The 26,301-nt window shown below is 43.7% G+C and overlaps 1 pseudogene, besides 5 other annotated features; it reads left to right on the top strand.

Annotated features, from left to right (window-relative positions):
- Positions 5,666–6,232: an enhancer, noted in NCBI's record as "NANOG-H3K27ac-H3K4me1 hESC enhancer chr8:70907101-70907667 (GRCh37/hg19 assembly coordinates)". NCBI's record gives its function as "activates a minimal SCP1, AML or CMV promoter by ChIP-STARR-seq in primed H9 embryonic stem cells {active_cell/tissue: H9 hESC(primed)}" and the evidence as "EXISTENCE:reporter gene assay evidence [ECO:0000049][PMID:30033119]".
- On the top strand, positions 13,344–13,736 carry SUMO2P20 (SUMO2 pseudogene 20; annotated as a pseudogene).
- Positions 21,038–21,137: a silencer, noted in NCBI's record as "silent region_19266". NCBI's record gives its function as "represses an Ori minimal core promoter by ATAC-STARR-seq in GM12878 lymphoblastoid cells {active_cell/tissue: GM12878}" and the evidence as "EXISTENCE:reporter gene assay evidence [ECO:0000049][PMID:35858748]".
- Positions 21,543–22,225: an enhancer, noted in NCBI's record as "OCT4-NANOG-H3K27ac hESC enhancer chr8:70891108-70891790 (GRCh37/hg19 assembly coordinates)". NCBI's record gives its function as "activates a minimal SCP1, AML or CMV promoter by ChIP-STARR-seq in primed H9 embryonic stem cells {active_cell/tissue: H9 hESC(primed)}" and the evidence as "EXISTENCE:reporter gene assay evidence [ECO:0000049][PMID:30033119]".
- Positions 22,966–23,894: an enhancer, noted in NCBI's record as "OCT4-NANOG-H3K27ac hESC enhancer chr8:70889439-70890367 (GRCh37/hg19 assembly coordinates)". NCBI's record gives its function as "activates a minimal SCP1, AML or CMV promoter by ChIP-STARR-seq in naive and primed H9 embryonic stem cells {active_cell/tissue: H9 hESC(naive and primed)}" and the evidence as "EXISTENCE:reporter gene assay evidence [ECO:0000049][PMID:30033119]".
- Positions 24,825–25,753: an enhancer, noted in NCBI's record as "OCT4-NANOG-H3K27ac-H3K4me1 hESC enhancer chr8:70887580-70888508 (GRCh37/hg19 assembly coordinates)". NCBI's record gives its function as "activates a minimal SCP1, AML or CMV promoter by ChIP-STARR-seq in naive H9 embryonic stem cells {active_cell/tissue: H9 hESC(naive)}" and the evidence as "EXISTENCE:reporter gene assay evidence [ECO:0000049][PMID:30033119]".

The following is a 26,301-nucleotide window of genomic DNA, read 5'->3' as shown; positions in this document are numbered from 1 at the left end:
CAGCCACATCTTGATTTCTTTTGTTGATATATCTAACTTCCTTCAGTACATATGAGCTCATTGGCAGCAGAGGATTTTTGGTCTTGGTCATCTATGCATCCTTAGCATTTAGCATGGTAAATACTCATTATGTGTTTGTGAAATGAATAAAAGAACTAGCAAATGAATGAATAAATAATAAATTAACATTCTGGGAATAAAAGAGAAAGGTGGTCTCACTGCAGATCCAATATAAGGGACAACATTTATGTGTCATGGAGTGACAGCATGCACTGGTGTGTCATAATAAGTTGTAAGGTAATTTTACAAATATTTTGTTTTTTCGAGAATATACTCAAGTTATGACCCGGGCATGGTAGCTCACTCCTGTAATCCCAGCACTTAGGGAGGCTGAGGCAGGCAGATCACTTGAGGTCAGGAGTTTGAGACCAGCCTGGGCAACATGGCAAAACCCCCATCTCTATAAAAAATACAAAAATTAGCCAGGGGTGGTGTGCATACCTATAGTTCCAGCTACGTGGGAGGCTGAGGTGGGAGGATCTACTTGAGCCCAGGAAGTCAAGGCTGCAGTGAGTGGTGATCATATCGCTGCACTCCAGCATGGGCAACAAAATGAGACCCTGTCTTGAAAAAAAAGAGAGAGTATATGCAAGTTTGCAAATATACCCATGTTGGCTTGCTTTAACAAAAAATCAGAGCAGATTTGAGGTTATTTATACAGTAATATGACTCTTACTTGCTTTCCACTATATTTTCTTGAGTGGGAGGAAAAAGGATAAAGTTACATATGGTCATTCAAAACTGGTGCCCAGGCTTGGGTATGCTCAGTCATGTGCTGTGAAAGTGGATTGCATCTGTCAGAAGTCACCGTATAGAAGAGGACAAAGCTGTCAGGCCAGAATACCATGAAGAGGGAATCTGTGAGGTGCTGATTCCAGAGACTCCTTCCCTGACTGGGACTGAAACAAAGGCAGTCATGTCTGTCAAGGAGGAAGGCATTCATTCTTGGCATGCAGTTGGTAGGTACAGCACTCTGCCTTCTTTTGCCTGGAAGTCCAACACACTGTACCCACTAGTATGCATATTTTTTCAGGATGTGAAATGAAACTCCCTAAAAGAGAGACTTGGTCTCTCTTGGAAAACAGTTATGAGACACACATATAGAAAAATTTCCATCTAAAATAACCAGAAATTTTGATGATAAAAGCTTCTGGAACTGGGAAAATTCATTTGTGTGTTATTTCCTTACACCTTAAGTACAAAGACCTATTTTCTACAAATTCCTCTTAAACTTCAATTATCATAAAATTGACCACATGTCAAAAAGTGACAGATGAATTGCACCAGAAATCCAAATGTGTAAGAGCCTGGCATTTCTGCAGACCAACTGGTGCTTGAATGTATGACTCCAGAAGAACTAACCAGGTTCACAGACATCTATTATTTTGGCTATTTATTTATTTATTAATTTATTGACACAGAGTATCACTCTGTTGCCCAGGCTGGAATGAAGTGGTGTGATCTCAGCTCACTGCAGCCTCCACCTCCTGAATTCAAGCGATTATCCTGCCTCAGCCTTCTGACTAGCTGGGATTACAGACATGCGCCAACACGCCGGGCTAATTTTTGTATTTTTGGCAGAGACAGGGTTTCACCATGATGGCCAGGCTGGTCTAGAATTCCTGACCTCAAGTGATCTGCCTGCCTTGGCCTCCCAAAGTGCAGGGATTACAGGTGTGAGCCACCACGCCAGGCTTTGGCTGTTTAAAACTAATAGCTATCAGGCCAGGCGCGGTGGCTCACACCTGTAATCCCAGCACTTTGGGAGGCCGAGGCGGGTGGATCACGAGGTCAGGAGATGGAGACCATCCTGGCTAACACGGTGAAACCCCGTCTCTACTAAATATACAAAAAATTAGCCGGGCGCGGTGGCAGGCGCCTGTAGTCCCAGCTACTCGGGAGGCTGAGGTAGGAGAATGGTGTGAACCTGGAAGGCAGAGCTTGCAGTGAGCCAAGATCATGCCACTGCACTCCAGCCCTGGTGACAGAGTGAGACTCCGTCTCAGAAAAAAAAAAACCTGATAGCTACATGTGTTCATCAGGGCAGGAGGGGTATAGTGTGATTCAAAAGCAGCAACCCAAAATGACAATCTTTGCTCTATTTATTTATAGTTACCTTAATTCTTTTTGTTTGTTTGTTTATTTTGTTTTGTTTTGTTTTGAGACAGGGTCTTGCTCAGTTATCCAGGCTGGAGTGTAGTGGCTCAAACATGGCTCACTGCAGCCTCAACCTCCTGGGCTCAAGCGATCCTCATTTTTGTCTGTTTTGTAGAGACAAGATTTTGCGATGTTATCCAGGCTGGTCTCCAACTCCGGGGCTCAAGTGATCTGCTTGCTTTGGCCTCCCAAACTACAGGCATGAGCTATCACACCCAGCAGTTGCCTTTATTCTAATGAAAAAAATTAAACAACTTATGTGAGATTTCTTTCCATGGTTTAATTATAAATTGTTTAAAATCACCATTTGTTTGTATTATCATTTTAATTATGCAAAATAGATGCTGTGTAATAAAATAACAGCAAATACATTGAATGTCCCCTTTTACTCTTGAAAGTGTCCTGGTTTTGATGATGTAATCGCACTATTCACTGAACATTTACTTGGTGCTATGCCCTTTTCTAAGTACTTTATATGGACTCGTTATATATTGTAGAGGTCCCATACATTGTAAGACCATGCCTTCAAATTTTGAAGGCAGTTAGCGATTCAGCATTAGCTAGAATGATATTGTGCATGCTACTAATAGATTCTTCTTAGTATTTTCATTAGTCAGGAGTGTAATGGTGCTGGGGAAACCTAATAATAAAGTAAGCAATGGTAATCGATTGTTATGGATTAATCAAAGAGTACATAAAGCAGAGCATATACATTTTGGAATGAATCATCACCATTTGGAAGCATTCTGTCCTTTCAGGGAAGATGAATGAGCATTGAGAGAAAACTGATTTTTTTTTTTTCTCATTAATGACACTTCTTTTCATTAAAGGTAAGTTTATCACTGTTAATTACCTTCATTCCTTCAACCAGACTTGTATAGGAGAACAGGACTAGAGAAAAAAAATCTGAAAAACTTATCATAATCAAATGGAAATTATTGGTTCTTTCACATTTTGTACCCCTGTATAACAAAAATTAAAAATTTAATTCCCTGACAACTCTATGACTATACTAAAAATCATTGAATTGTACACTTCAGTTGCATTGTGTAGTATTTGAGTGAATTATATCACAATAAAATAGTTCTTAAGATTTTTTTTGGCTGGATGCAGTGACTCACATTTTGGGAGGCTGTAATCCCAGCATTTTGGGAGGCTGAGGCAGGAGGATTGCTTGAGCCCAAAGTTCACAATCAGCGTGGGCAAAAAAGTGAGATCCCATCTATACAAAAAATAAAATCAACCAGGCATGGTGGTCTGTAGGTCTAGCTATTTGGGAAGCTGAGGCAGGAGGGTTGCTTGAGCCCAGAAATTTGATGCTGCAGTCAGCCATGATCACATCACTGCACTCCAGCTTGGATGACAGAGCAAGACCCTGTCTCTCTTTTTTTTTCTTGAGATGGAGTCTCTCTCTGTCACCCAGCCTGGAGTGCAGTGGCACGATCTCGGCTCACTGCAACCTCTGCCTCCTGGATTCGACCGATTCTTTTGCCTCAGCCTCCCAAGTAGCTGGGACTACAGGCACATACTACCACGCCCAGCTAATTTTTGTATTTTTAGTATAGATAAGGTTTCACCATGTTGGCCACAATGGTCTCGATCTCTTGACCTCATGATCCGCCTGCCTCGGCCTCCCAAAGTGCTGGGATTACAGGCATGAGCCACCACACCCGGCCTGACCCTGTCTCTTAAAAAAGAAAAAAGTGGGAGTCTGGCCTATTCACATGTAGATCTATCAAATCAGAATCTCTGGGGATGGAACTGGCCCACCAGCAAGTTTAAAATCTTCCTAAGTGATTTCAACATGCAGTCAAAGTTGAGAGACACCAGTTTAGCTAAAGATGACTGGGGTCAGAGCTCTGGGTGACAGGTACCTTCTTCCAACTGGATAGGGTAGAAACGGGCCCTTTCCTAAGGGCAGTACTCATGGATACTGCTAAGTACTAACTCTGGATGAGCTCAGCATGTACTGAGTGGATACAAAATAAGAGGACAACATAGCTAAGGAGGGCTGGAAGCATGAATTAAAAGAAAAAATCAAGGTTGGGCACAGTGGCTCAAGCCTGTAATTCCAGCACTTTGGGAGGCCAAGGCGGGTGGATCAACTAAGGTCGAAAGTTCGAGACCAGCCTGGCCAACCTGGAGAAACCCCATCTCTACTAAAAATACAAAAATTAGCTGGGCGTGGTGGCACGCGCCCGTAATCCCAGCTACTCTGGAGGCTGAGGCAAGAGAATCACTTGAACCCAGGAGGTGGAGGTTGCAGTGAGCTGAGATCGCACCATTACACTCCAGCCTGGGCAACAAGAGCAAGACATCATCTCAGGAAAAAAAAAAAAAAAGAAAGAAAAAATCAAAATAGAATAGAAAGAGCTAAGGAGGCAAAGGAGAACCTAGAAACCCTTTAATTGGTCTTACATTTTAAAATTAGAAAGGACATTAAAAATCTAATTAAAAAAAAAAGATATCTAGACCGGGTGTGGTGGCTCATGCCTGTAGTCCCAGCACTTTGGGAAGTCGAGGTGGGTGGATCACCTGAGGTCGGGAGTTCGAGACCAGCCTGGCCAACATGGTGAAACCCCATCTCTACTAAAAATACAAAAAAATTTAGCTGGGAGTGGTGGCGGGCGTCTGTAATCCCAGCTTCTCAGGAGGGTGAGGCAGGAGAATCACTTGAGATTTTTTTTGGCTGGATGCAGTGGCTCACATTTTGGGAGGCTGTAATTGTAGCATTTTGGGAGGCTGAGGCAGGAGGATTGCTTGAGCCCAAAAGTTCACAACCAGCCTGGGCAAAAAAGTGAGATCCCCTCCAGGGGGCAGAGATTGCAGTGAGCTGAGATTGCGCCATTGCACTCCAGGCTGGGTGACACAGTGAGACGCTGTCTCAAAAAAAAAAAATCTAATTCAATATCCACAGTTTTCTAAGGTAAGGGATTAGAAATTAAGCAGTGTATCCCAGCAGGACACATTAGTTTACAACAAAACCTTGAGTAGAAGTCAGGATTTATCAGTGCCAGTGCATTCTAAACCTAATACAAGATGGGAGGCCCTCCTTGTTTTCCAAGTCATCTGCCCCTGAAACAGAGAAGCTGCAAAAATGCAGTACTATACACAATTCTCACAACCTGGCTTTCCTGTATGTTAACATTTTACATAGCCAACTTTCAATGATCCAAGCCAAAAAATTAACATTGGTACAATGCTATATTCTTTTACAAATGAAGGAACCAAGGCCTGGAGGGGTTAAGGGACTTGCCCAAGGGCGCTCAGTCAACAAGTGGCTGAATCTCCATAACCTTAAAGGACACAGGTACCCAGTTCCCTTTTGTTTCATCTGAAGACCACTTTACATTGAAACATGTTTCTAGAAGAAGGCTGGTTATAAGCATTATGTTGTCCGGCTGACTCCACGGATGCAAGACTAGAGATGAGGCTGCTAGAACTGCCTCGCCTGCTCCTCTGGAAATAGGAGTAGCTTAAGCCCACATAACTGTATGGGCATGTGACAGCCCCCTCTAAGAAAGGCCTTTGCGCCTGGTTCAATGCTCTGCTGTTTTTTTTTTTTTTTTTTTTTGCACAGGTCTCACTGTCACCCAGGCTGGAGTACAGTGGCATGATCTCGGCTCACTGCAACCTCTGCCTCCTGGGTTCAAGCGATTCTCCTGCCTCAGCCTCCAGAGTAGCTGAGATTACAGGCACACGCCATCATGCCCACCTAATTTTTGTAGTTTTAGTAGAGACGGGGGTTTCACTATGTTGGCCAGGCTGGTCTCGAACTCCTGACCTCAAGTGATCCTCACCGCCTTGGCCTCCCAGAGTATTGGGATTATAGGCGTGAGCCACCGCGCCCGGCCCCTGCACTCCTAAAATTCTTAATTATTTTATCGTTGAACTTGTTTTGTAAGTAAAATCCCATGGTACAAAGGAGTATGAGCATGAGCTGGAGCGATAAACCCGCAGCAGGGTGGGGGACTCCGGCCTGCGGGCAACGCAGGCAGGGCCGGCGCCTGAGCCATTATTCAGGCGCCCAGTGCGCATGCGCAAGCCTCGCCACGGCGGCGAGGCCGGAATAGACCTCGGAATAGCTGTGGCCACTGTAGCAGCTGAAGGGCTGCGGGCGGGAGGAGGGCTGCGCGCGTGTGTCTTTGGAGTCCCTCCCTGCAGCGCCTTGCCCGCCCGTTGGTTCACACAGGGCAGACGTTGTCAGTAAATCATTACAGAACAGAAGCGTCCGCGTGGACATTGCCATCAAGCACACCAGGGGTTACTGGACTTCTGCAATGAATTTAGACTCTGGTTTTGAAAACTGCTGCAGCATTGCAAAAGTGAATATCCACAGGCTTAGAAATAGAAATTAAAGGCCGGGCGCGGTGGCTCACGCCTGTAATCCCGGCACTTTGGGGCTGGCGGATCACCTGAGATCAGGAGTTCCAGGCCAGCCTGACCAATATGATGAAACCTTGTCTCTACTAAAAATACAAAAATTAGCCGGGCGTGGTGGCATGTGCCTGTAATCCTAGCTACTCGGGTTGGGGGGGGGGGCGGGGGGGACCGCGGGGAGAGGGTGCTGAGACAGGAGAATCGCTTGAACCCGGGAGGCAGAGGTTGCAGTTAGCTGAGATAGCGCCACAGCACCCCAGCCTGGGCAACAAGAGCAAAACTCCGTCTCAAAAAAAAAAAAAAAAAAAGAAAAGAAAAGAAAAGAAAGAAATAGAAATTAAATTTAAAGAGTGTCACATTCAACAGAAAACACTTTTCATATGATGCTTCGGATGAACCAGTAATTACAGAGAAAGACAATTTTAAAATGGCTTTTGGCCGGACACGGTGGCTCACGCCTGTAATTTAAGCACTTTGGGAGGCTGAGGCCAGTAGATCATCTGAGGTCAGGAGTTCGAGAGCAGCCTGGCCAACACGTCGAAACTCCATCTCTACTAAAAAAAAACAAAAATTAAGACCGGGCGCGGTGGCTCACGCCTGTAATCCCAGCACTTTGGGAGGCCAAGGCAGGCGGATCACCAGGTCAGGAGATGGATACCATCCTGGCCAACATTGTGAAACCTTGTCTCTACTAAAAATACAAAAATTAGCTGGGTGTGGTGGGGGGCGCCTGTAGTCCCAGCTACTCCGGAGCCTGAGGCAGGAGAATCGTTTGAACCTGGGAGGCGGAGGTTGCAGTGAGGCGAGATTGCGCCACTGCTCTCCAGCACGGCGACAGAGCTAGACTCCGTCTCAAATAAATAAATAAATAAATAAATGAAATTTAGAAATAAAACGGGTTTTTCCTAAGGTGATGGTTATCCCAGTTACACTGATTTTATCTTTACAAGTTATATGAATGTATTAAATTATCATGTGCACTCTGAAAATGGGTACATCTATGACATATCAATGAAAACATTAAAAAATAGGTCAGACTCAGTGGCTCCCGCCTGTAATCCCAGCACTTTGGGAGGCCGAGGTGGGCGGATCACCTGAGGCCAGGAGTTGGAGACCATCCTGGTCAACATGGTGAAACCCTGTCTCTACTAAAAATGCAAAAATTACCCGGGTGTGGTGTGCTTCTGTAATCTCAGCTGCTCAAGGGGCTGAGGCAGGAGAATCACTTGACTCTGGGAGGCAGAAGTTGCAGTGAGCCGAGATAGCGCCACTGCACTCCAGCCTGGGTGACAGAGCAAGACTGTCTCAAAAAAAAAAAAAAAAAAAAAAAAAGGCTGAGATGGGAGGATCACTTGAGCCGGGGAGGGTGAGGCTGCAGTGAGCTGTGATGGCACCACTGCACTCCAGTTTGGGTGCCAGAGGGGGGTCTTTGCAGATGTAGTCAAGTTAGGGATCTGGAGATGAGATCATCCTGCATTATCCAGCTGCGCCCTAAGCCCAATGACAAGTGTTTATAAGAGAAAGAAGAGGAGGACCCAGACCAGGAGAAAGTCATGTGAAGATGGAGGCAGAGATTAGAATCCTGCAGCCACAAACCAAGGAATGCCGGGAGCTGCTAGAGGCTGAAAGAGGCAAAGAAGCATTCTTCCCTAGCACCTTTTGAGGGAGTACAGCCCTGTTAACACCTTCGTTTTGGACTTCTGGCCTCTGGAACTGTGAGAGAATACATTTCTGTTATTTTAAACCACCCACTTTGTAGAACTTTGTTACGGCAGCCTCAGGAAATTAACGCAGTCGTCTTGCAGAGCATAGTAAAGCTGAACTTCAGTGTTGGTAAATTCTTGTTAAGAGGATTTATTAGCCTGTTTTTTATGAAACCAACATTTTGGTGGCATCATTCAGAACAGTCCTGTGGCTCCTCCATCTTGCCACCAACGCTATCTAACTTCCCGAATTCCCCCCTTCTCCCTCCTACGTTTTATTCCCAGACCACTGATCTGAATAGAGAATGCACAGGTAATACCCAAGGTGACTTATTAGGAAGACAACTACCTAATTTAGTATTCCAACATCAGAAAACGTAAATCTAATGAAGGATGATTTTTACCCAAATGAACATCGGGAAGGTAATTACCGCTGTGATTTGGGGGTGAAGTAGCACGCTTTGTTTCCTCAAGGTGTTACTTCTCTGTATTAACAGAGCCACATCCAGGCCTTGGAATGCCTTGTTAAGAGAAGAATATTCTCTTTCTTTCAAAGCTGCCAGGCATATGTTTCTTTATATTTTCCTTCTTTTAAGAAAGAAACACAAACTGGTTTTTTTTTTTTTTTTTTTTTTTGAGACGGAGTCTTGCTCTCTCGCCCAGCCTGGAGTGCAGTGGCGCGATCTCGGCTCACTGCAAGCTCCGCCCCCCGGGTTCACGCCATTCTCCTGCCTCAGCCTCCTGAGTAGCTGGGACTACAGGGGTCCACCACCGTGCCCGGCTAATTTTTTTTGTATTTTTAGTACAGACGGGGTTTCACCGTGGTCTCAATCTCCTGAACTCGTGATCCACCCGCCTCGGCCACCCGAAGTGCTGGGATTACAGGCGTGAGCCACCGCGCCCGGCCCCAACACTAAAAGGATGCACAAACAGATTGATATTTCTCTCCCAAATGCGGCAGTTACGAAGAATGAGGCAGATCTGCGTTTATTGAGTAGAAAAACAGAAAAAACATATTTCAGAACAATGGGTATTTAGTCCTTGCATTTTTTCTCTTTTGTCTCATAGCTTTAATAATTATCTTTATGTGGACAAATATTATATTTATATCTTCAGCTTGGATCTCTTCCCTGAGCCCAGATTCTGCCCAACATCTCCACTATGAAGTCCAACAGGCATCTCAAACTTAATTTGTGTGGCTGGGCGCGGTGGCTCACGTCTGTAATCCCAGCACTTTGGGAGGTCAAGACAGGCAGCTCACGAGGTTAGGAGACCGAGACCAACCTGGCTAACATGGTGAAACCCCGTCTCTACTAAAAATACAAAAAATTCGCCGGGTGTGGTGGCGGGCGCCTGTAGTCCCAGCTACTGGGGAGGCTGAGGCGGGAGAATGGAGTGAACCTGGGAGGTGGAGCTTGCAGTGAGCCGAGATCGCGCCACTGCACTCCAGCCTGGGCGACAGAGCGAGACTCCATCTCAAAAAACACACACACACAACAACAACAACAACAAAAACCCACTTAATTTCTGCAAAAACAAATCATGGCATTCCTCCCTACCTTGCTTCATCCATGACTTCTCTCAGTTAATGCCATTCTAATCTTCAGCTGCTCAGTCAAATGTAAGTGAACAAGCAGGTAAGCAGGAAAAAAAAAAGGCCTTAGAGTCATCCTTCTCTTGTCTCTTACCCTACATTGAATCCTTGAATGGGACCAGCCCTCACCATCTCTGTAGCTGTTGCAGGGCTCCTAACATCATCTCTCTGGCGTGATCACAGCTCACTGCAGCCTCAGTCTCCCTAGGCTCAGGTAATCCTCCCACCTCAGCCTCTTGAGAAGCTGGGGCTACCGGCATGTACCACCATACTTGTCTAATTTTTTTGTATTTTTGGTAGAGACAGGGTTGGCCAGACTGGTCTCAAACTCCTGGGCTCAAGTGATCCGCCTGCCTCGGACACTCAGAAAGCGCTGGGATTACAGGCATGGGCCACCATGCCCAGCCACACACTGATCTTTTTAAAACCTAAGACAGGTCATGTCACTCTTCTGTTCAAAATCTTCTGTAGACATAAATGAAGACCAACTGAGAAAAGCAAAGGCTATTTATTCAGCGCTTGCTATAGCAAGGCAGTCAGCCACCATCACTTGTGTTTGCAGAGTCTCAAAGGCAGGTAGGGGAAACAGAAAAGCTTTATAGCAGAAAAAGGGAAGGCTTCAGGTCGGTCCTGAATGGAGGCTGCTGGCTTGGGAAAACTGTAGGTGGCTAACTGAAGGAAAGCACCTGATGTGATTGGTTAGGGGTGTGTATTTGACTTTTCTGCTTGGTCCTAAGTTGGAAGTGAGCATAAAAACCAGGGAAGCTGTCAGTTACTAATCAAGTTCTTCCTAGCCATTTTGGGCCAGTCGTTATAGCTGGTGTTATTTAGCATCCCGAACTGTTTTAGAGATAGAGTGTGGCTTCTGCAAGTCTGAGTTAAGCATGCTGGATCCCTGTGCTGTTAATTGTAGATAAGGGATTGATTTTCTGGGCAGGTGGCTGCAGGTTGTCGGTCAGAGTTCTAGTTTATTTATTTATTAGAGATGAGGTCTCTCAATGTTGCCCAAAGTGCTGAACTCAACTCCTGGGTTCAAGTGATCTTCCTGTCTCAGCCTCCTGAGTAGCTGGGTAGTCCCAGCTGTGGCACCAAGCACTGCTCAGAGTACTCTTTTTATTTGTATTATTATTAATTTATATATTTATCTGTTTTTGAACAAGGTTTTGCTCCGTCACCCAGGCTGGAGTGCAGTGTGGCACAATCATAGCTCACTGCAGCCTCAAACTCCTGGGCTCAAACAATCCTCCTTCCTTAGCCTCCCAAGTAACTGGGACTACAGGTGTGCACTAACACACCCAACTAGTTTTAAACATTTTTTGTAGCTGGGCACAGTGGCTCATGCCTGTAATCCCAGCACTTCGGGAGGCCAAGGCGGGTGGATCACCTGAGGTCAGGAGTTTGAGAACAGCCTGGCCAACACAGTGAAATCCTGTCTCTACTAAAAATATAAAAAAATTAGCTGGGCATGGTGGCACACACCTGTAGTCCCAGCTACTCAGGAGTCTGAGGCACCAGAATCGCTTGAACCTGGGAGGCGGAGGTTGCAGAGAGCAGAGATCGTGCCACTACACTCCAGCCTGGGCAAAAGAGCGAGACTCTGTCTTGAAAAAACAAAACCAGGCCGGGCGCAGTGGCTCACGCCTGTAATCCCAGCACTTTGGGAGGCTGAGGCGGGTGAATCATGAGGTCAGGAGATCGAGACCATCTTGGCTAACGCGGTGAAACCCCGTCTCTACTAAAAATACAAAAAATAAGCCGGGTGTGGTGGTGGGCGCCTGTAGTCCCAGCTACTCGGGAGGCTGAGGCAGTAGAATGGCGTGAACTCAGAAGGTGGAGCTTGCAGTGAGCCGAGATCACGCCACTGCACTCCAGCCTGGGCGACAGAGTGAGACTCTGCCTCAAACAAACGAACAAACAAAGAAACAGACAAAAAACAAACCATTTTTTGTAGAGACGAGGTCTCGCTATGTTACCCGGGGTGGTCTCAAGCTCCTGAGCTCAAGCGATCCTCCCATCTTGGCCTCCCAAAGTGCTAGGCTTACAGGCGTGGACTGCCACGCCTGGGCTTCTTGCTACCCCTTAACAATAAGGCAGCTCCTCCTCAGGCTTTCACAGTCAGCTCTTACTTCTACTCCAATGCTTTTCCTTCAGGAAATCCCAAGGTCACTGTAGATAAATAAAATAGATTTTTTGAGCTCCTTTAAAATTTTTATTTCATTGTTTAAATTGACAGATAAAATTGTATTTATCATGTGTAGCATGATATTCTGTATATATACATTGTGGAATGACAAGATCTAGCTAATTAACATATGCATTACCTCACATAGCTATCATTTTTGTGGCAAGAATGCATAACATCCACTCTGTTGGCATTTTTCAAGAATACATTATATTGTTATTAACTACAGGCACCATGGTGTATGGTGGAGCTCCTTGGAACATCTCTCAACATAGGCTGATGGCATAACAGCAATGAACGGACACAAAATTATATGGTCTACATTTGTCATTCTCTGAAGGTCTGGCTAATAGATAAAATGTTGACTATCAGGGTAGAATTGAAGGGCTCCATTTATTTCAAAACATTCCCTAAGTAGACAGCTTTTTGACCGGCGTGGTGGCTCAGGCCTATAATTCCAGCACTTTGGGAGGTCGAGGTGTGTAGATTGTCTGAGCCCAGGAATTGGAGACCAGTCTGGTCAACATAGAGAGATCCTTCCCTTCTCTCCCTTCCTTCCTTCATTCCTTTCTTTTTAAAAATCATTTTTATGGCTGGGCACGGTGACTCATGCCTGTAATCCCAGCACTTTAGGAAGCTGAGGTGAGCAGATCACCTGAGATCAGGACTCGAGACTAGCCTGGCCAGCATGGTGAAACCCCATCTTTACTAAAACTACAAAAATTGGTCAGATATGGTGGTGGGAGCCTGTAATCCCAGCTACTTGGGAGGCTGAAGCAGGAGAATCACTTGAACCTGGGGAGCGGAGGTTGCAGTGAGCTGAGATCACACCACTGCACTCCAGCCTGTGCGACAGAGCGAGACCCTATCTCAAAAAAAAAAAAAAAAAAAAAAAAAATATATATATATATATATATATATATATAATTATTATTATTATTATTTTTTGAGACAGAGTCTTACTCTGTCACCCAGGCTGGAGTGCAGTGGCACAATCTCGGCTCGCTGCAACCTCCGCCTCCTGGGTTCAAGCAGTTCTCCTGACTCAGCCTCCTGAGTAGCTGGGATTACAGGCATGCGCCACCATGCCCGGCTAATTTTTGTATTTTTAGTAGAGACGGGGTTTCACCGTGTTGGCCAGGCTGGTCTCGAACTCCTGACCTCGTGACCCACCCGCCTCGGCCTCCCAAAGTGCTGGGATTACAGGCATGAGCCACCGTGCCTGGCCTATTATTAATTTTTTTAAAAAAAAGATTTTGCTCGTTCCATGCGAACCTGGTACCTCTCTTGTGAAGCTACAGCTGAGGAGACTCTGATGCTCACCATAGCTGACGAAAAGCCCAAGGAAGGAGTCAAGGCTGAGAACCACGATCATACTAATTTAACGGTGGCAGGGAAAGATGGTTCTGTGATGCAGTTTAAGATTAAGAGGCATACACCACTTAGTAAACTAATGAAAGCCTATTGTGAAAGACAGGGATTGTCAATGAGGCAGATTAGATTACAATTCCACAGGTAACCAATCAATGAAACAGACACACCTGCACAGTTGGAAATGGAGGATGAAGATACAATTGATGTGTTCCAACAGCAGACGGGAGGTGTCTACTGAAAAAGGAACCTGCTTCTTTACTCCAGAACTCTGTTCTTTCAAGACCGAGGAGATTACATTCTCAATTAGAAAACTGCAATTTGGTTCCACCACATCCTGACTACTACAGTATAGTTTTCTCTATTCTTTCATTTCCCCTTTTCCCATTCCTTTATTGTATGTAAAGTAATTGGTATATGTGCACAAGCATATTGCATTTTTTTTTAACTAAACAGCCAATGGTATGTTTTGATTGACATCAAGTGGAGATGGAATGGGGAAAAATACTGATTCTGTGAAAATACCCCCTTTCTCCATTAGTAGCATGCTCATTCAGCTCTTTATATTCCAGTAATTTATTTTACTCTCACTGTTTTAACAAAAAAATAAATAAATAAAAAATAAAAATCCTTGCATACTTTGTTCAATTGGAGAATTTTACTGTTTTTCATTTATCATTGTAAAACCAAGGACAATTTTATAACTTTTTTCTACGTAGCTGTTACATGTAGGGCAATCTGTCTTTAAGTAGGGATAAATTACTCTAAAACAAAAAAGAATCCTAGATAGTTTTCCCTTCAAGTCTTGTTGTTTAAATAAACTTCTTGTTTAAAAAAATAAGTGAATAAAATAAAAAAGAGTTTTTACTAAGATGGGGGGCTTACCATGTTGCCCAGGCTGGTCTTGAGATCCTGGGCTCAAGTATGTTTTGTGGTTCATCCACATTCATGTATTAGTACTTCATGCTTTTTTCTTTCTTTCTTTCTTTCTTTTTTGGAGATGGAGTTTTGCTCTTGTTGCTCAGGCTGGAGTATAATGGCGTGATCTTGGCTCACTGCAACCTCTGCCTCCAGGATTCAAGTGATTCTTCTGCCTCAGCCTCCCGAGTAGCTGGGATTACAGGCATGTGCCACCATGCCCTGCTAAATTAAATTTTTAGCAGAGACAGGGTTTCGCCATTGTTGGTCAGTCTGGTCTCGAACTCCTGAGCTCAGGTGATCCACCCACCTCAGCCTCCCAAGTGCTGGGATTAAGGTGTGAGCTACCGTGCCCAGCCTACTTCATGCTTTTTTATGGCTAAGTAATATCTCAATGTGTGTATACCATGTTTTGTGTAACTGTTCATCCACTGTTGGACATTTGGGTTATTTTCATCTTTTAGCTCTTGTGAATAGTGCTGCTATGAATATTTGTGTATAAACATTTGTTTGAATCCCTGCTTTCAATTATTTTGGGTTTCAAGTAGAAATGGTGGGTCCTATGATGATTCTATAATTGCTTTTTAAGGAACAGATAAACTATTTTCCATAGTGGCTGCAGTATTTCACAGTCACACCAGCAATGTAAGAGGGAGGGGTCAAATAATAAATTTGCCAACATTTGTTATTTCCCACTTAAAAAATTATAGCCATGCCGGGTGTGGTGGCTCACGCCTGTAATCCCAACACTTTGGGAGGCCAAGGCAGGCGGATCACCTGAGGTCAAGAGTTTGAAACCAGCCCGGCCAACATGATGAAACCCCGTCTCTCCTAAAAATACAAAAATTAGCCGGGTGTGCTGGTGGGAGCCTGTAATCCCAGCTACTCGGGAGGCTGAGGCAGGAGGATCACTTGGACCCTGGAGGCAGAGGTTGCAGTGAGCCAAGATGGCGCCATTGCATTCCAGCCTGGGTAATAGAGTGAGATTCTGTCTCAAAAAAAAAAAAAATTATAGCCCTCCTAGTGCGCACGAAGTGCTATATCGTGGTTTTGACTAGTATATACCTAATGACTGATGATGAGAAACTATTATCTTCTTTGGAGAAATATTTAAGTCCTTTGCCCATTTTAAAAATTGCACTTTCTGCCGGGTGTGGTGCATCACGCCTGTAATCCCAGCACTTTGGTAGGCCAAGATGGGTGGATTACCTGAGGTCAGGAGTTCAGGACCAGCTTGGCCAGTATGGTGAAACCCTGTCTCTACTAAAAAATACAAAAATTAGGCCGATTATGGTGGCTTACACCTGTAATCCCAGCACTTTGGGGGGCTGAGGCAGGCAGATCACAAGGTCAGGAGTTCAAGACCAGCCTGGCCAACATGGTGAAACCCCATCTCTACTAAAAATACAAAAATTAGCCAGGTGTGGTGGCATGCACCTGTAGTACCAGCTACTTGGGAGACTGAGGCAGGAGAATTGCTTGAACCTGGGAGGCGGAAGTTGCAGAGAGACAACACCGCGCCATTGCACTTCAGCCTGGGCAAAATAGTGAGACTCTGGGCCGGGCACGGTGGCTCATGACTGTAATCCCCGCACTTTGGGAGGTCGAGGTGGGTGGATCACCTGAGGTCAGTTTGAGACCCGCCTAACCAACATGGAGAAACTCTGTCTCTACTAAAAATACAAAACTAGCCAGGCATGGTGGCGCATGCCTGTAATCCCAGCTACTTGGGAGGCTGAGGCAGGAGAATTGCTTGAACCCAGGAGGCGGAGGTTGCAGTGAGTCGAGATTGTGCCATTGCACTCCAGCCTGGGCAACAAGAGAGAAGGAGAGAAGCTCCGTCTCAAAAAAAAAAAAAAAAAAAAAAGTGAGATTCTCTCTTAAAACAAAAACAAAACCAAAAACAAAATTAGTGACAAGAGTGAAACTCCATCTCAAAAATAAATAAATAAATAAATAAAATTGCACTTGTTTGTCTTTGTTGAACCACTGCATCTGTTTATTTCTGTTATACAACAATGATTAATACTTTTAATGGGCCGGGCTTGGTGGCTCTCACCTGTAATCCCAGCACTTTGGGAGGCCGAGGTGGGTGGATCACGTGGTCAGGAGATCGAGACCATCCTGGCTAACGTGGTGAAACCTCGTCTCTACTGAAAATACAAAAAATTAGCCGGGTGTGGTGGCGGGCACCTGTAGTCCCAGCTACTCAGGAGGCTGAGGCAGGAGAATGGTGTGAACCCGGGAGGCAGAGCTTGCAGTGAGCCGAGATCACGCCACTGCACTCCAGCCTGGGCGACAGAGCGAGACTCCATCTCAAAAAAGAAAAAAAAAACACCACTTTTAATCATGACCCAGAAGCACACCCAGAAAGAATATATTAGAGTCACCATAATTTTGGTATTTGGAGATTATTGTCATATTTCAATTATTTGACAATTGATAATCCAATTATAATGAACATAACCATTAACGAGGCTATTTGATAGAGCATCTCATTCTTCAACATATTTCTTTCTTTCTTTTTTTTTTTGAGACAGAGTCTTGCTGTGTTGCCCAGGCTGGAGTGCAGTGGTGCAATCTCAGCTCACTGCAATCTCAGCTCACTGCAACCTCCGCCTCCTGGCTTCAAGTAATTCTCTTGCCTCAGCCTCCCAAGTAGCTGGGACTACAGGCATGCACCACCACGCCTGGCTAATTTCTGAATTTTTATTAGAGACAGGGTTTCACCATATTGGCCAGACTGGTCTCTAACTCCTGACCTCGTGATCCACCTGCCTTGGCCTCCCAAAGTGCTAGGATTACGGGTGTGAGCCACTGAGCCCAGCCTGTTTCTTTGAATTTTATTTCTTTTTGAGAAGGCGTCTCACTCTGTTGCCCAGGCTGGAGTGCAGTGGTGCGATCTCAGCTCACTGCAACCTCCACCTCCCAGGTTCAAGTAATTCTCTTGCCTCAGCCTCCTGAGTAGCTAGGATTACAGATGCCTGCCACCATGCCCGACTAACTTTTGTATTTTTGGTAGAGATGGGGTTTCACCATTTTGGCCAGGCTGGTTTTGAACTCCTGACCTTAAGTGATCTGCCCACCTTGGCTTCCCAAAGTGCTGGGATTACAGGTGTGAGCCACTGCGTCTGGACTCTTCAACATATTTCATTCAGTAATAATGTTTGCTAAGTAAATTGCTTTTCAGTTGCTATACCGTATGGATTTGCAGGAAAGAGTTTTGTATAGGCTTTCTGTCTAGTCACCCCGTATAACAACTAAAGCAAAGTTGGCTGCTTGGAAAAGTTTTTTTTCTTTTCTCACCAGAGGTTGAATGCTGGAAAAAGTTTTTAATTTTGACATTTTCCATCCTTGATTTTAAGCGTATTTAATAATAACTATAATAATTTCAAAGTAATTAGGTGTTACCTGGGTGCTAGAAGATTCTAACAATAGGTTATTATTATGTGCTTTGCCAAAAATACTAAATTCAGTGGCCAAGTATTGTATTGGCCTGCAGGAAAAGCATAAGAAATAATGGGGTTGAGTCCAAGGGAGAAAGTAAAGGTTCTTTTTATTCTGAATGATCTAGCTTACTCTTAAATTTGTACAATACCTAACCTCTCTGCTTTGGTGAACCTTGGTTATCATCTATTCTATAGAATTAAAAACATGGTGGGGGCTGAGTGTACTGGCTTACTCCTGTAATCCTAGCAATTTGGGAGGCTGAGGCAGGTAGATCACCTGAGGTCAGGAGTTCGAGACCAGCCTAGCCAATATGGTGAAACCCTGTCTCTACTAAAAACACAAAAATTAGCCAGGTGTGGTGGTGGGTGCCTGTAGTCCCAGCTACTCAGGAGGGGGAGGCTGAGACAGGAGAATTGCTTGAACCCAGGAGGCAGAGGTTGCAGTGAGTTGAGATTGTGCCACCGCACTCCAGTCTGGAGGACAGAGGGAGACTCCTCTCAAAAACAAGCGAACAAACAAACAAAAACATGGCGGGACAAGGTAGGTGGCTCATGCCTGTAATTCCAGCACTGTAGGAGGCCAAGGTGGGTGGATCACTTGTGGCCAGGGATTTGAGACCAGTCTGGGCAACATGGTAAAACCCTGCCTCTACAAAAAATACAAAAATTAGCCAGGAATGGTGGTGCACACCTGTAGTCCCAGCTACTCAGGAGGCTAAGATCAGAGGATTGCTTGAGCCTGGGAGGCAGAGGTTGCAATGAGCCGAGATGGCACCACTGCACTCCAGCCTGGGTGACAGAGACTCTGTTTCAAAAATAAGTAAATAAATAAAAATGAAACATAAAAAATAAAAACATGCACAGTGAATTTTCTTGGGCAAAAACCAAAAGCCAACTGTCTTGACCTTCATTTCCAACTCTAAAGGCCACTGTACCTTAACTTAGCCAAATGACCAGATGGAAAATGATTGCATTTTCGGCCAAGAAATGCAGTGCTAGGATCTTTTATTTTAGCTAAATCTTCAGAAATGACATTAATTTTGGTATTGGAAGGAAGCCATATAGCACTATTATATTAAAATCCTGAGGATTCTTTTTTTTTTTTTTTTTGAAACGGAGTTTTGCTGTTGTTGCCCAGGCTGGAGTGCAATGGCATGATCTCGGCCTACTGCAACCTCTGCCTCCTGGCTTCAAATGATTCTCCTGCCTCAGTCTCCCAAGTAGCTGGGACTACAGGCACCTGCCGCCACATCGGCTAATTTTGTATTTTTAGTAGAGACAGAGTTTCGCCATGTTGGCCAGGCTGGTCTTGAACTCCTGGCCTCAAGTGATCCACCTGCCTTGGCCTCCCAAACTGCTGGGATTACAGACATGAACCACCGTGCCTGGCTACAAATAGGTTCTTAAATTTCATCAAGATTATACTCTTGATTTGGTTTTGATTTAGATTTTTTTTTTAAATGATAGCTATACCAACAAGTGCATCAGCCAGATACAGTTATGTAGTGTCTCCTTCCAAAGAGAGAAGCTTTGCCCACTGGGATTGAATCTTATTAACCTTGGCCTAATTGTGGTCTTGAGCCGTCACTCATTTATTATTTATCTTCATACCCTCTAACCTGGTTCTCTATCCATTTTAAACAAACAAGATAGCCCTAAGGGCTCTCTTAAGCCACCTAAAATACAGACATTCTTCCACTTACCCGACATCCCTAGGCCCTCTCCTTATAAAAAATGGCTGAACCTGACAGGATCAGCTGCATGGTTCTTGAGATAAATAAGGCTTAATGTTTGCATTCTTTAATAAATCCAAGATATACCAAAGGTCTAATATCCTAAAATATATAAAATAAAAATAATTTTAAAAAGAAAAAGAAATCCAAGACTAAAAAGCTATTGAGCCAGGCGCGGTGGGTCACACCTGTAATCCCAGCACTTTGGGAGGCTGAGGTGGGTAGATCATGAAGTCAGGAGTTCGAGAACAGCCTGGCTAACATGGTGAAACCCCTTCTGTATTAAAAATACAAAAAATTACCGAGGCGTGCTGGCAGGCATCTGTAATCTCAGCTACTCGGGAGGCTGAGGCAGGAGAATTGCTTGAACCTGGGAGGTGGAGGTTGCAGTGAGCCGTGATCGCGCCATTGCACTCCAGCCTGGGAAACAGTGCGAGACTCCATCTCAAAAAAAAAAAAAAAAAAAAAAAAAGCTATTGAAATCTTAGGGGTGTAGTTTCAGGCATTTGTTAGCAGAGGCTGGGGGACTTCCAGGGCTTGCCTTCTTTGCCTGCCCGTCGAAGTGGGCCCCTAGTCACTGGCACTGTTTCCAGAGTCAAGATGGAAGGCAATCTAATGTCAATAGAATGCTGAAGCTGTACCTACAATTGGCATTACTCAACGCTGCACACACCCAGTCTTCTAAATTGTGAACACCTAATTTAGGCATATCTTGCCAAGGTAAGTGGTCAATTGTACACTATCCTCTTTATCTCCCTCTTGCCTGGAGGCCATTTCAGCTAGTTATCAAAGTGTATCTTCCATCTTTCCTGTATCTCTGCACACAGGGACATTGGCCCAGCCATGCCTCCCTTCTCCATCTTTTACTGGCAAGAGTTTCCTTACAGATATAAACACAATCTTTTTGCCTGCCTCAGGTTCCGTCTGTCCTCCAGCTCATACTTTGAAGGACAGGAGGAGAGGGAATCTCTTTAATCCTCACTCAACCTCACTTTTGTTCTAGAAAGCCTTCTAGAAGGGAAGACTTTGAGATAACTCATGCAGTTTCCTAAACTTGCCAGAGGAGAAGAGGCACCTGGGCTGCTGGTTAAAATACCTACTCTCGGGGGCCCCAGAGCGGCTCTACGGAGTGACTCTGAGTAACTCCAGGGAATGGGTTCTGAGAATCTTTCCTTTTAATCAGGGCCCCAGGTTATTTTTTTTATCACTAGGATAGTTTTGGAAACAGAGGCCTAATCCAGTTCTTCTCGAACTTTAGCATGTCTCGGAAGCCCCTGGAGGCCTATGGAAACCCAGATGGCAGGGGCCCCACCTGGGAGTTTCAGTTTCAGTAAGGCTAGGGTAGGGCCCGGGAATTTGCATTTCTAACCAGATCCCAGGTGATGCTGATGTTGTTGGTCAGGGAACCCCACCCTGAGAACCACTGATCTGTCCAGTGGCTTCATCTGAAAGTGAGTTATCTAGCTGTGAAGGGATTTAGGCATCACGACTGAGATGATAAGAATAGTGCTACGTCAGTGTCAAGGAAATGGTGAGCTATCCTTCTCAATTACATACACTAGCTAAAGGACACTCGATAGGAAAGAAATCACGCCTGCCTGCAAACCTCCTGAACAAGCCCGTAACAGTCTCTAATTAAATCTGCTTTTCTCAAGCACTGGAATTACGGATGAATACACCAATTTCTTATCCTTTTATTTTTACAGTTTTGTTTAATTTCATTTTGCTTTCTAGTCTTTTTTTTTTTTCCATTGCAAATTAGCAGAATGACTGTGAAAGCTTTTGTGTCCTGGCCAGAGAACTTCACAACTATTTTAACATAGTTTCTTCTTTTTTTTTTTTTTTTTTCCTGTAACATAGTTTCTATGGAAAAAGTTATTCTAATTCCAAACAAATGAGCTCTGAGGAAACTTTGGGAACAGATCTTGCTGACTCCGACACAGTGCAGTGTGTGTGTTTGGTAGGTTCATTACAGTGTGTGGGAATGGTGCAAGAACTAAGCTAGTAACTGGAAGCAGAGTGCATCAGCCGGCATTTTGCTGATCAATTAGGTATTGATGCGTTTGCTCCTGTAAGTAGGTCTTTGGGGAGTGACTAAAATGGGATCCAATACTTTGATGCTGTACTACTTTGCAGACATTATGAGAGTTAATAAAACTCATTATCTTTTAGCTTCTTAGCTTCCTTCTGGCAAGGGACAAAACACTAATTTACTCTAGCATAGCCTTCTCTCTGTGTGTGTGTATGCAAGCAATTAAAATAACTTTCATGAAAAACAGTGCAGAGTGAAAACGGGTTACCAACATTTATCAGCAATTTATTTGTGGAATCCTGCAGTTTCAGTGCATTGTTATGTTGATTCTACTTTCTAAGATGTCTGGCTTCTTGGAATGTAAATCTCATCAAGAGAGCTTGTGGTAACCTCATATGCATTTATAGATAAATATTTTCATTCACTGCCGAGGACCTGTGAAGAACATTAGAATGCACAGCTCTGGTTGGTGGGCAAGGGGAATAGAGAAGGAGAATTTATGCAAATTTTAATCACTGTTTCATGGGGTTAAGGGTGCAAACTGTCCAAAAATAAAATAATTTAATGAAAGGGAAAGACCAAATGTTCTTTTCAAGATCTTTAGGCAGAAAAGTTTGAATGCATTACACAGGGAGAAAAAAGTATTAGAGATTCACGTTAATTGACAGCAACAAATTGACAGCTATGTTGTCAGTACTTTCTAAGGAGTCTTTGTGTAAATATTGGGTAAATATAATGAACAGTCAAACAGGAAATTTTGATGTAAATTAAACTTGCAAGAACTAAGCAAAGGCAATCTGAATTAAAGAAAAAATTCAATAAAACTAAAGTTCTGTTTTCAAAGATGCTTCTTTTTTAGTCTTTTTTTTCAAGAGACTTATACACTTAATTTTTATTCATTAATGTCAGAGATGAGTCTCTAAGATTCTGCTTTGTACATGCTGCAGGAAAAGAATTCAAAAATGGAGTTTTCTGTCTAGTATAACATTTTGGAGGGCAGAGGGGTGGGATGCCAGGAAATGAAATGAAAAATTAGGTATCTGGGAAGCTGTGCCTCAGAAAAATTTTGTAAGAGGCAAACAGTAAGGACAATCTTGGCTGAATAGATACATTGAAAGAATAACCTGCATCCTGTCTGCATGCCTTTTTCTTCACTGAAAAAAAAAATGATGGTCAATATTTTGTCAATTTTCAAAATAATTAAAAAAATTGTTTTACTATGTGCTCATTATACAAACCCAAATACTACAGAAATATGTGTAAAATAACCTACCTACCCACTCCCCCCAGTATTGGATCAGATTAGCTCTTCCATTTCCATTTTCATCAGAAAACTAAGGTAGAGTGTGAATAAATGACTATTTTTCCTGGAAAATTAATTGGGAGTTGTAACCAGTGAATCTTGAGTTCATGCTATGCTTTCTCAGGCTTTCTCTCTGTGGACTTATAAAAATGTTTATTTTACAGCTACTGTATTAAGCTGCACCTGTTTAAGAATAAAATTTATGTTAGATTTTGGCATTCAATAGAATCTGTCAGGTAATCATTCTTTTAGAGGAAAAAGTATTGCACACACAAATGCTTCACGTTTCCTTGTGGTCCTATCAATCCATTCATTGATCAATGTCTCATGAAAAAATAAAAAGGTCAGAATGGACTTTATGGCATATAGACCCAGCTAGTTAATAATCTACAGACTGGACTTGTCTTCCCCTTTAGGAAAGACCTGGCCCAAACTCCAAGACCTAATAAACCTAATTAGTACGTGTTAAAATAATTGCAGTTGCTGCGATGAGGTTAGCAGTGAGTGACACTGATGATTTGGGAAGTGATGATGGGGGGTTGGGGGCGTGGAGGGAGCAAGCTTTTAAAACCTTTAAAGGTTTTCAGAGTTTTATGCCTCATTGTAATCGTGCAAAGATGAGGCAGGGACCCATGACTCACTTTGGCTCTTTGTGCTAAAAGGGGTCTCTATTTAGGTTAAAACGAAGCACTTAGCCCATGTTTTAAACAATGAAAGGTACTTAGGCTCTAATACCTTAACCCTGCAGAGCCATTGTCTTCTTGCAAGTATATTCTATAGGCTTTGCACTCAAGATTGATCTATGTAAATAAGAAAACCTTTTGTTAAGTAAATTTAGGAATGCAAATAAATATGCAAGAAAAAGAAGCAATTAAAAAATCTTTAACTTACATTACTAGTCATTCAAGTAATAAAGCCATCGAGAAAAAAATAGAAGTGTATGTGGGGTTGTAAATGTGTATTTATTGAGTTGCAATATATTCTTTAGTTTAAAAAGCACTGCATGAGGGGAGGGGAGAGAAAAATAAATAAAAAGCACTGGGTGAAACACAGAATTGTACCACTTGCTAGTTTGATTGGGAGCAGGTAAACTGAGTTAAGTGAAACACTTAGATAGTGTATTCCTTTTTAGATAGTCATACATCAATTATTTTTCTATTTTCTGAACATAATTACAGTGTACCAGATATAGTATAGTCATCCACAATTTATCTTTCTGTTACTTTATGTAAACACACAAGGTAAACATCAAACAATGTCTTAAATTTACAGGAGAAAATTTCAAGAAGTCTATTTTCTACTTTTGTCACCTTTGGCAATCATAACTATGGGGCAGTAATTTTATCTGTTATTTTTAAGGTGAAGTGAATCTCAATGACGTTTTTCTTGTACATATTATGTTTTCTAATGGGTTCATAAAGTGTGTGAACAGGGATCTTTTCTTAGCTTTCTGCGGGGCCAAGGCCAGAAGGCCTTCATCCTATCCCCCTTCATGCATACCATGAATGTGTGACCTTGGGCAAGTCAATTACCTTCTCAATGCTTCTGTCTCTTCCGCTGTGAAATGGGAATAATAAACGTAGTACTAAATCAGAGAAATGCTACCTGGATTGAAGAGACTAATGCAAAATACCCAGCTTGTTCAATAGAGTACGTTTATTATTATTTGGTAAATATCTTACTAGATATGAAAGTTACACTTAATGTTTATAAACTTGTAAAATCTTTGCTGTGTTTTCTAGTAGAGATAATAACATTTACTAAGTATTTGCTTAGGGGCAGGCAGGTTTTGGGTTCTTTAGATACCTTTTCTCATTTGATTTTCAGTCACTCCATGAGGTAGGAATTACTACTGTCGTTATGTGTAGAGAGTAAACTGTCCAAGGTCACGTGTTGTGGCAGAGCTGGGATGGGGTTCCCAGTCTATCTGGCTCAGTACTGGACGCATACTCAACTGTGTGTCATCACTATGGATTGGCCCTCAGCCCTTTTCCTTCTCTATATGCTGTCCCCAAGTGGATTCATTCATTTCTGTGCCTTCCACTGCCACTGATGATTCTGTAGTTACAGCAGATCTTTCTCCTGTGCTACAGACTTCTTATTTCTAAATGCACACCGTTTAGATCTCAATTTGAACTCCTTTCCTAACTAACTATCCCTCCTGAATTCTTTCTGTCACCAGGCTGGAGTGCAGTGGTGCCACCTCGGCTCACTGCAACCTCCGCCTCCCAGGTTCAAGCGATTCTCCTGCCTCAGCCTCCCGAGTAGTCGGGATTACAGGAGCCCACCACCACGCCCGGCTAATTTTTCTATTTTCAGTAGAGATGGGGTTTCACCATTTTGGCCAGGATGGTTTCTGTCACTTGACCTCGTGATCCGCCCTCCTTGGTCTCCCAAAGTGCTGGGATTACAGGCGTGATCCACCATACCTGGCCCCCTCCTGAATTCTCTATTGCCACTTAATGGTCTTTTGTCACTTAATGGCGTTACCAGAAACTTGGGAGTGACCCAGGATGTTGGGTCTGTCTTTCCTTTGTCTTCCACATCCAATTCATTGTCATCAGGTCCTGCCTCATTTCAACTTCAAATTAGCTCTCAAATTTTCCCTCTTCCAGTTAACAGTCATTACCTTAATTCAGAGTCCCCACCCCTTGCCCCATTTTTTAGAGATGGGGTCTCCTTTTTTCTTAGCCTCCAAAACCACTGGGTTTACAGGTGTGAGCCACTGTGCCTGGACCAGTTTGTACTTCTTTCTTCTTTTTTTTTGAGACAGGGTCTTGTCACATCCCGTGCTCATCTAATTTTTGTATTTTTTTGTAGAAATGATATTTACCATGTTGCCCAGGCTGGTCTTGGACTCTTGGGCTCAAGCGATCCACCTGCCTCGGCCTCCCAGAGTGCTGGGATTTCAGTTGTGAGCCACTGCACCTGGCCAGCTTGTACTTCTTAAAACTAAGATGACATTGCCCGTCTTTGACACACACTGGGCTTGTTAACTCTATGACCTTAGGCAAAAGTTGGCTAAATTCCTCTCCTGTAAATTGGAGATGATAATAGCGGCCTCATAGGATTGCTATGAAGATTACATGAGGGCCTGGCACAGCGGCTCATGCCTGTAATCCCAGCACTTTGGGAGGCTGAGGTGAGTGGATCACCTGAGGTCAGGAGGTCAAGGCCAGCCTGGCCAACATGGTGAACCCCCCTCCCACAGCCCCCCGCCACCTGTCTCTACTAAAACAATACCAAAATTAGCCAGACATGGTGGCACGTGCCTGTAATACCAGCTACTTGGGAGGCTGAGGCAGGAGAATCGCTTGAACCTGGGAGGTGGAGGTTACAGTGAGCTGAAATTGTGCCACTGCACTCCATCCTGGGCGATGGAGCAAGACTCCCTCTCCAAAAAAAAGCAAGATTCAATG

The sequence above is a fragment of the Homo sapiens genome, chromosome 8 (genome assembly GCF_000001405.40).
Source record: "Homo sapiens chromosome 8, GRCh38.p14 Primary Assembly".
Lineage (NCBI taxonomy): Eukaryota > Metazoa > Chordata > Mammalia > Primates > Hominidae > Homo > Homo sapiens.
This window is presented reverse-complemented; position numbering and strand designations above follow the sequence as displayed.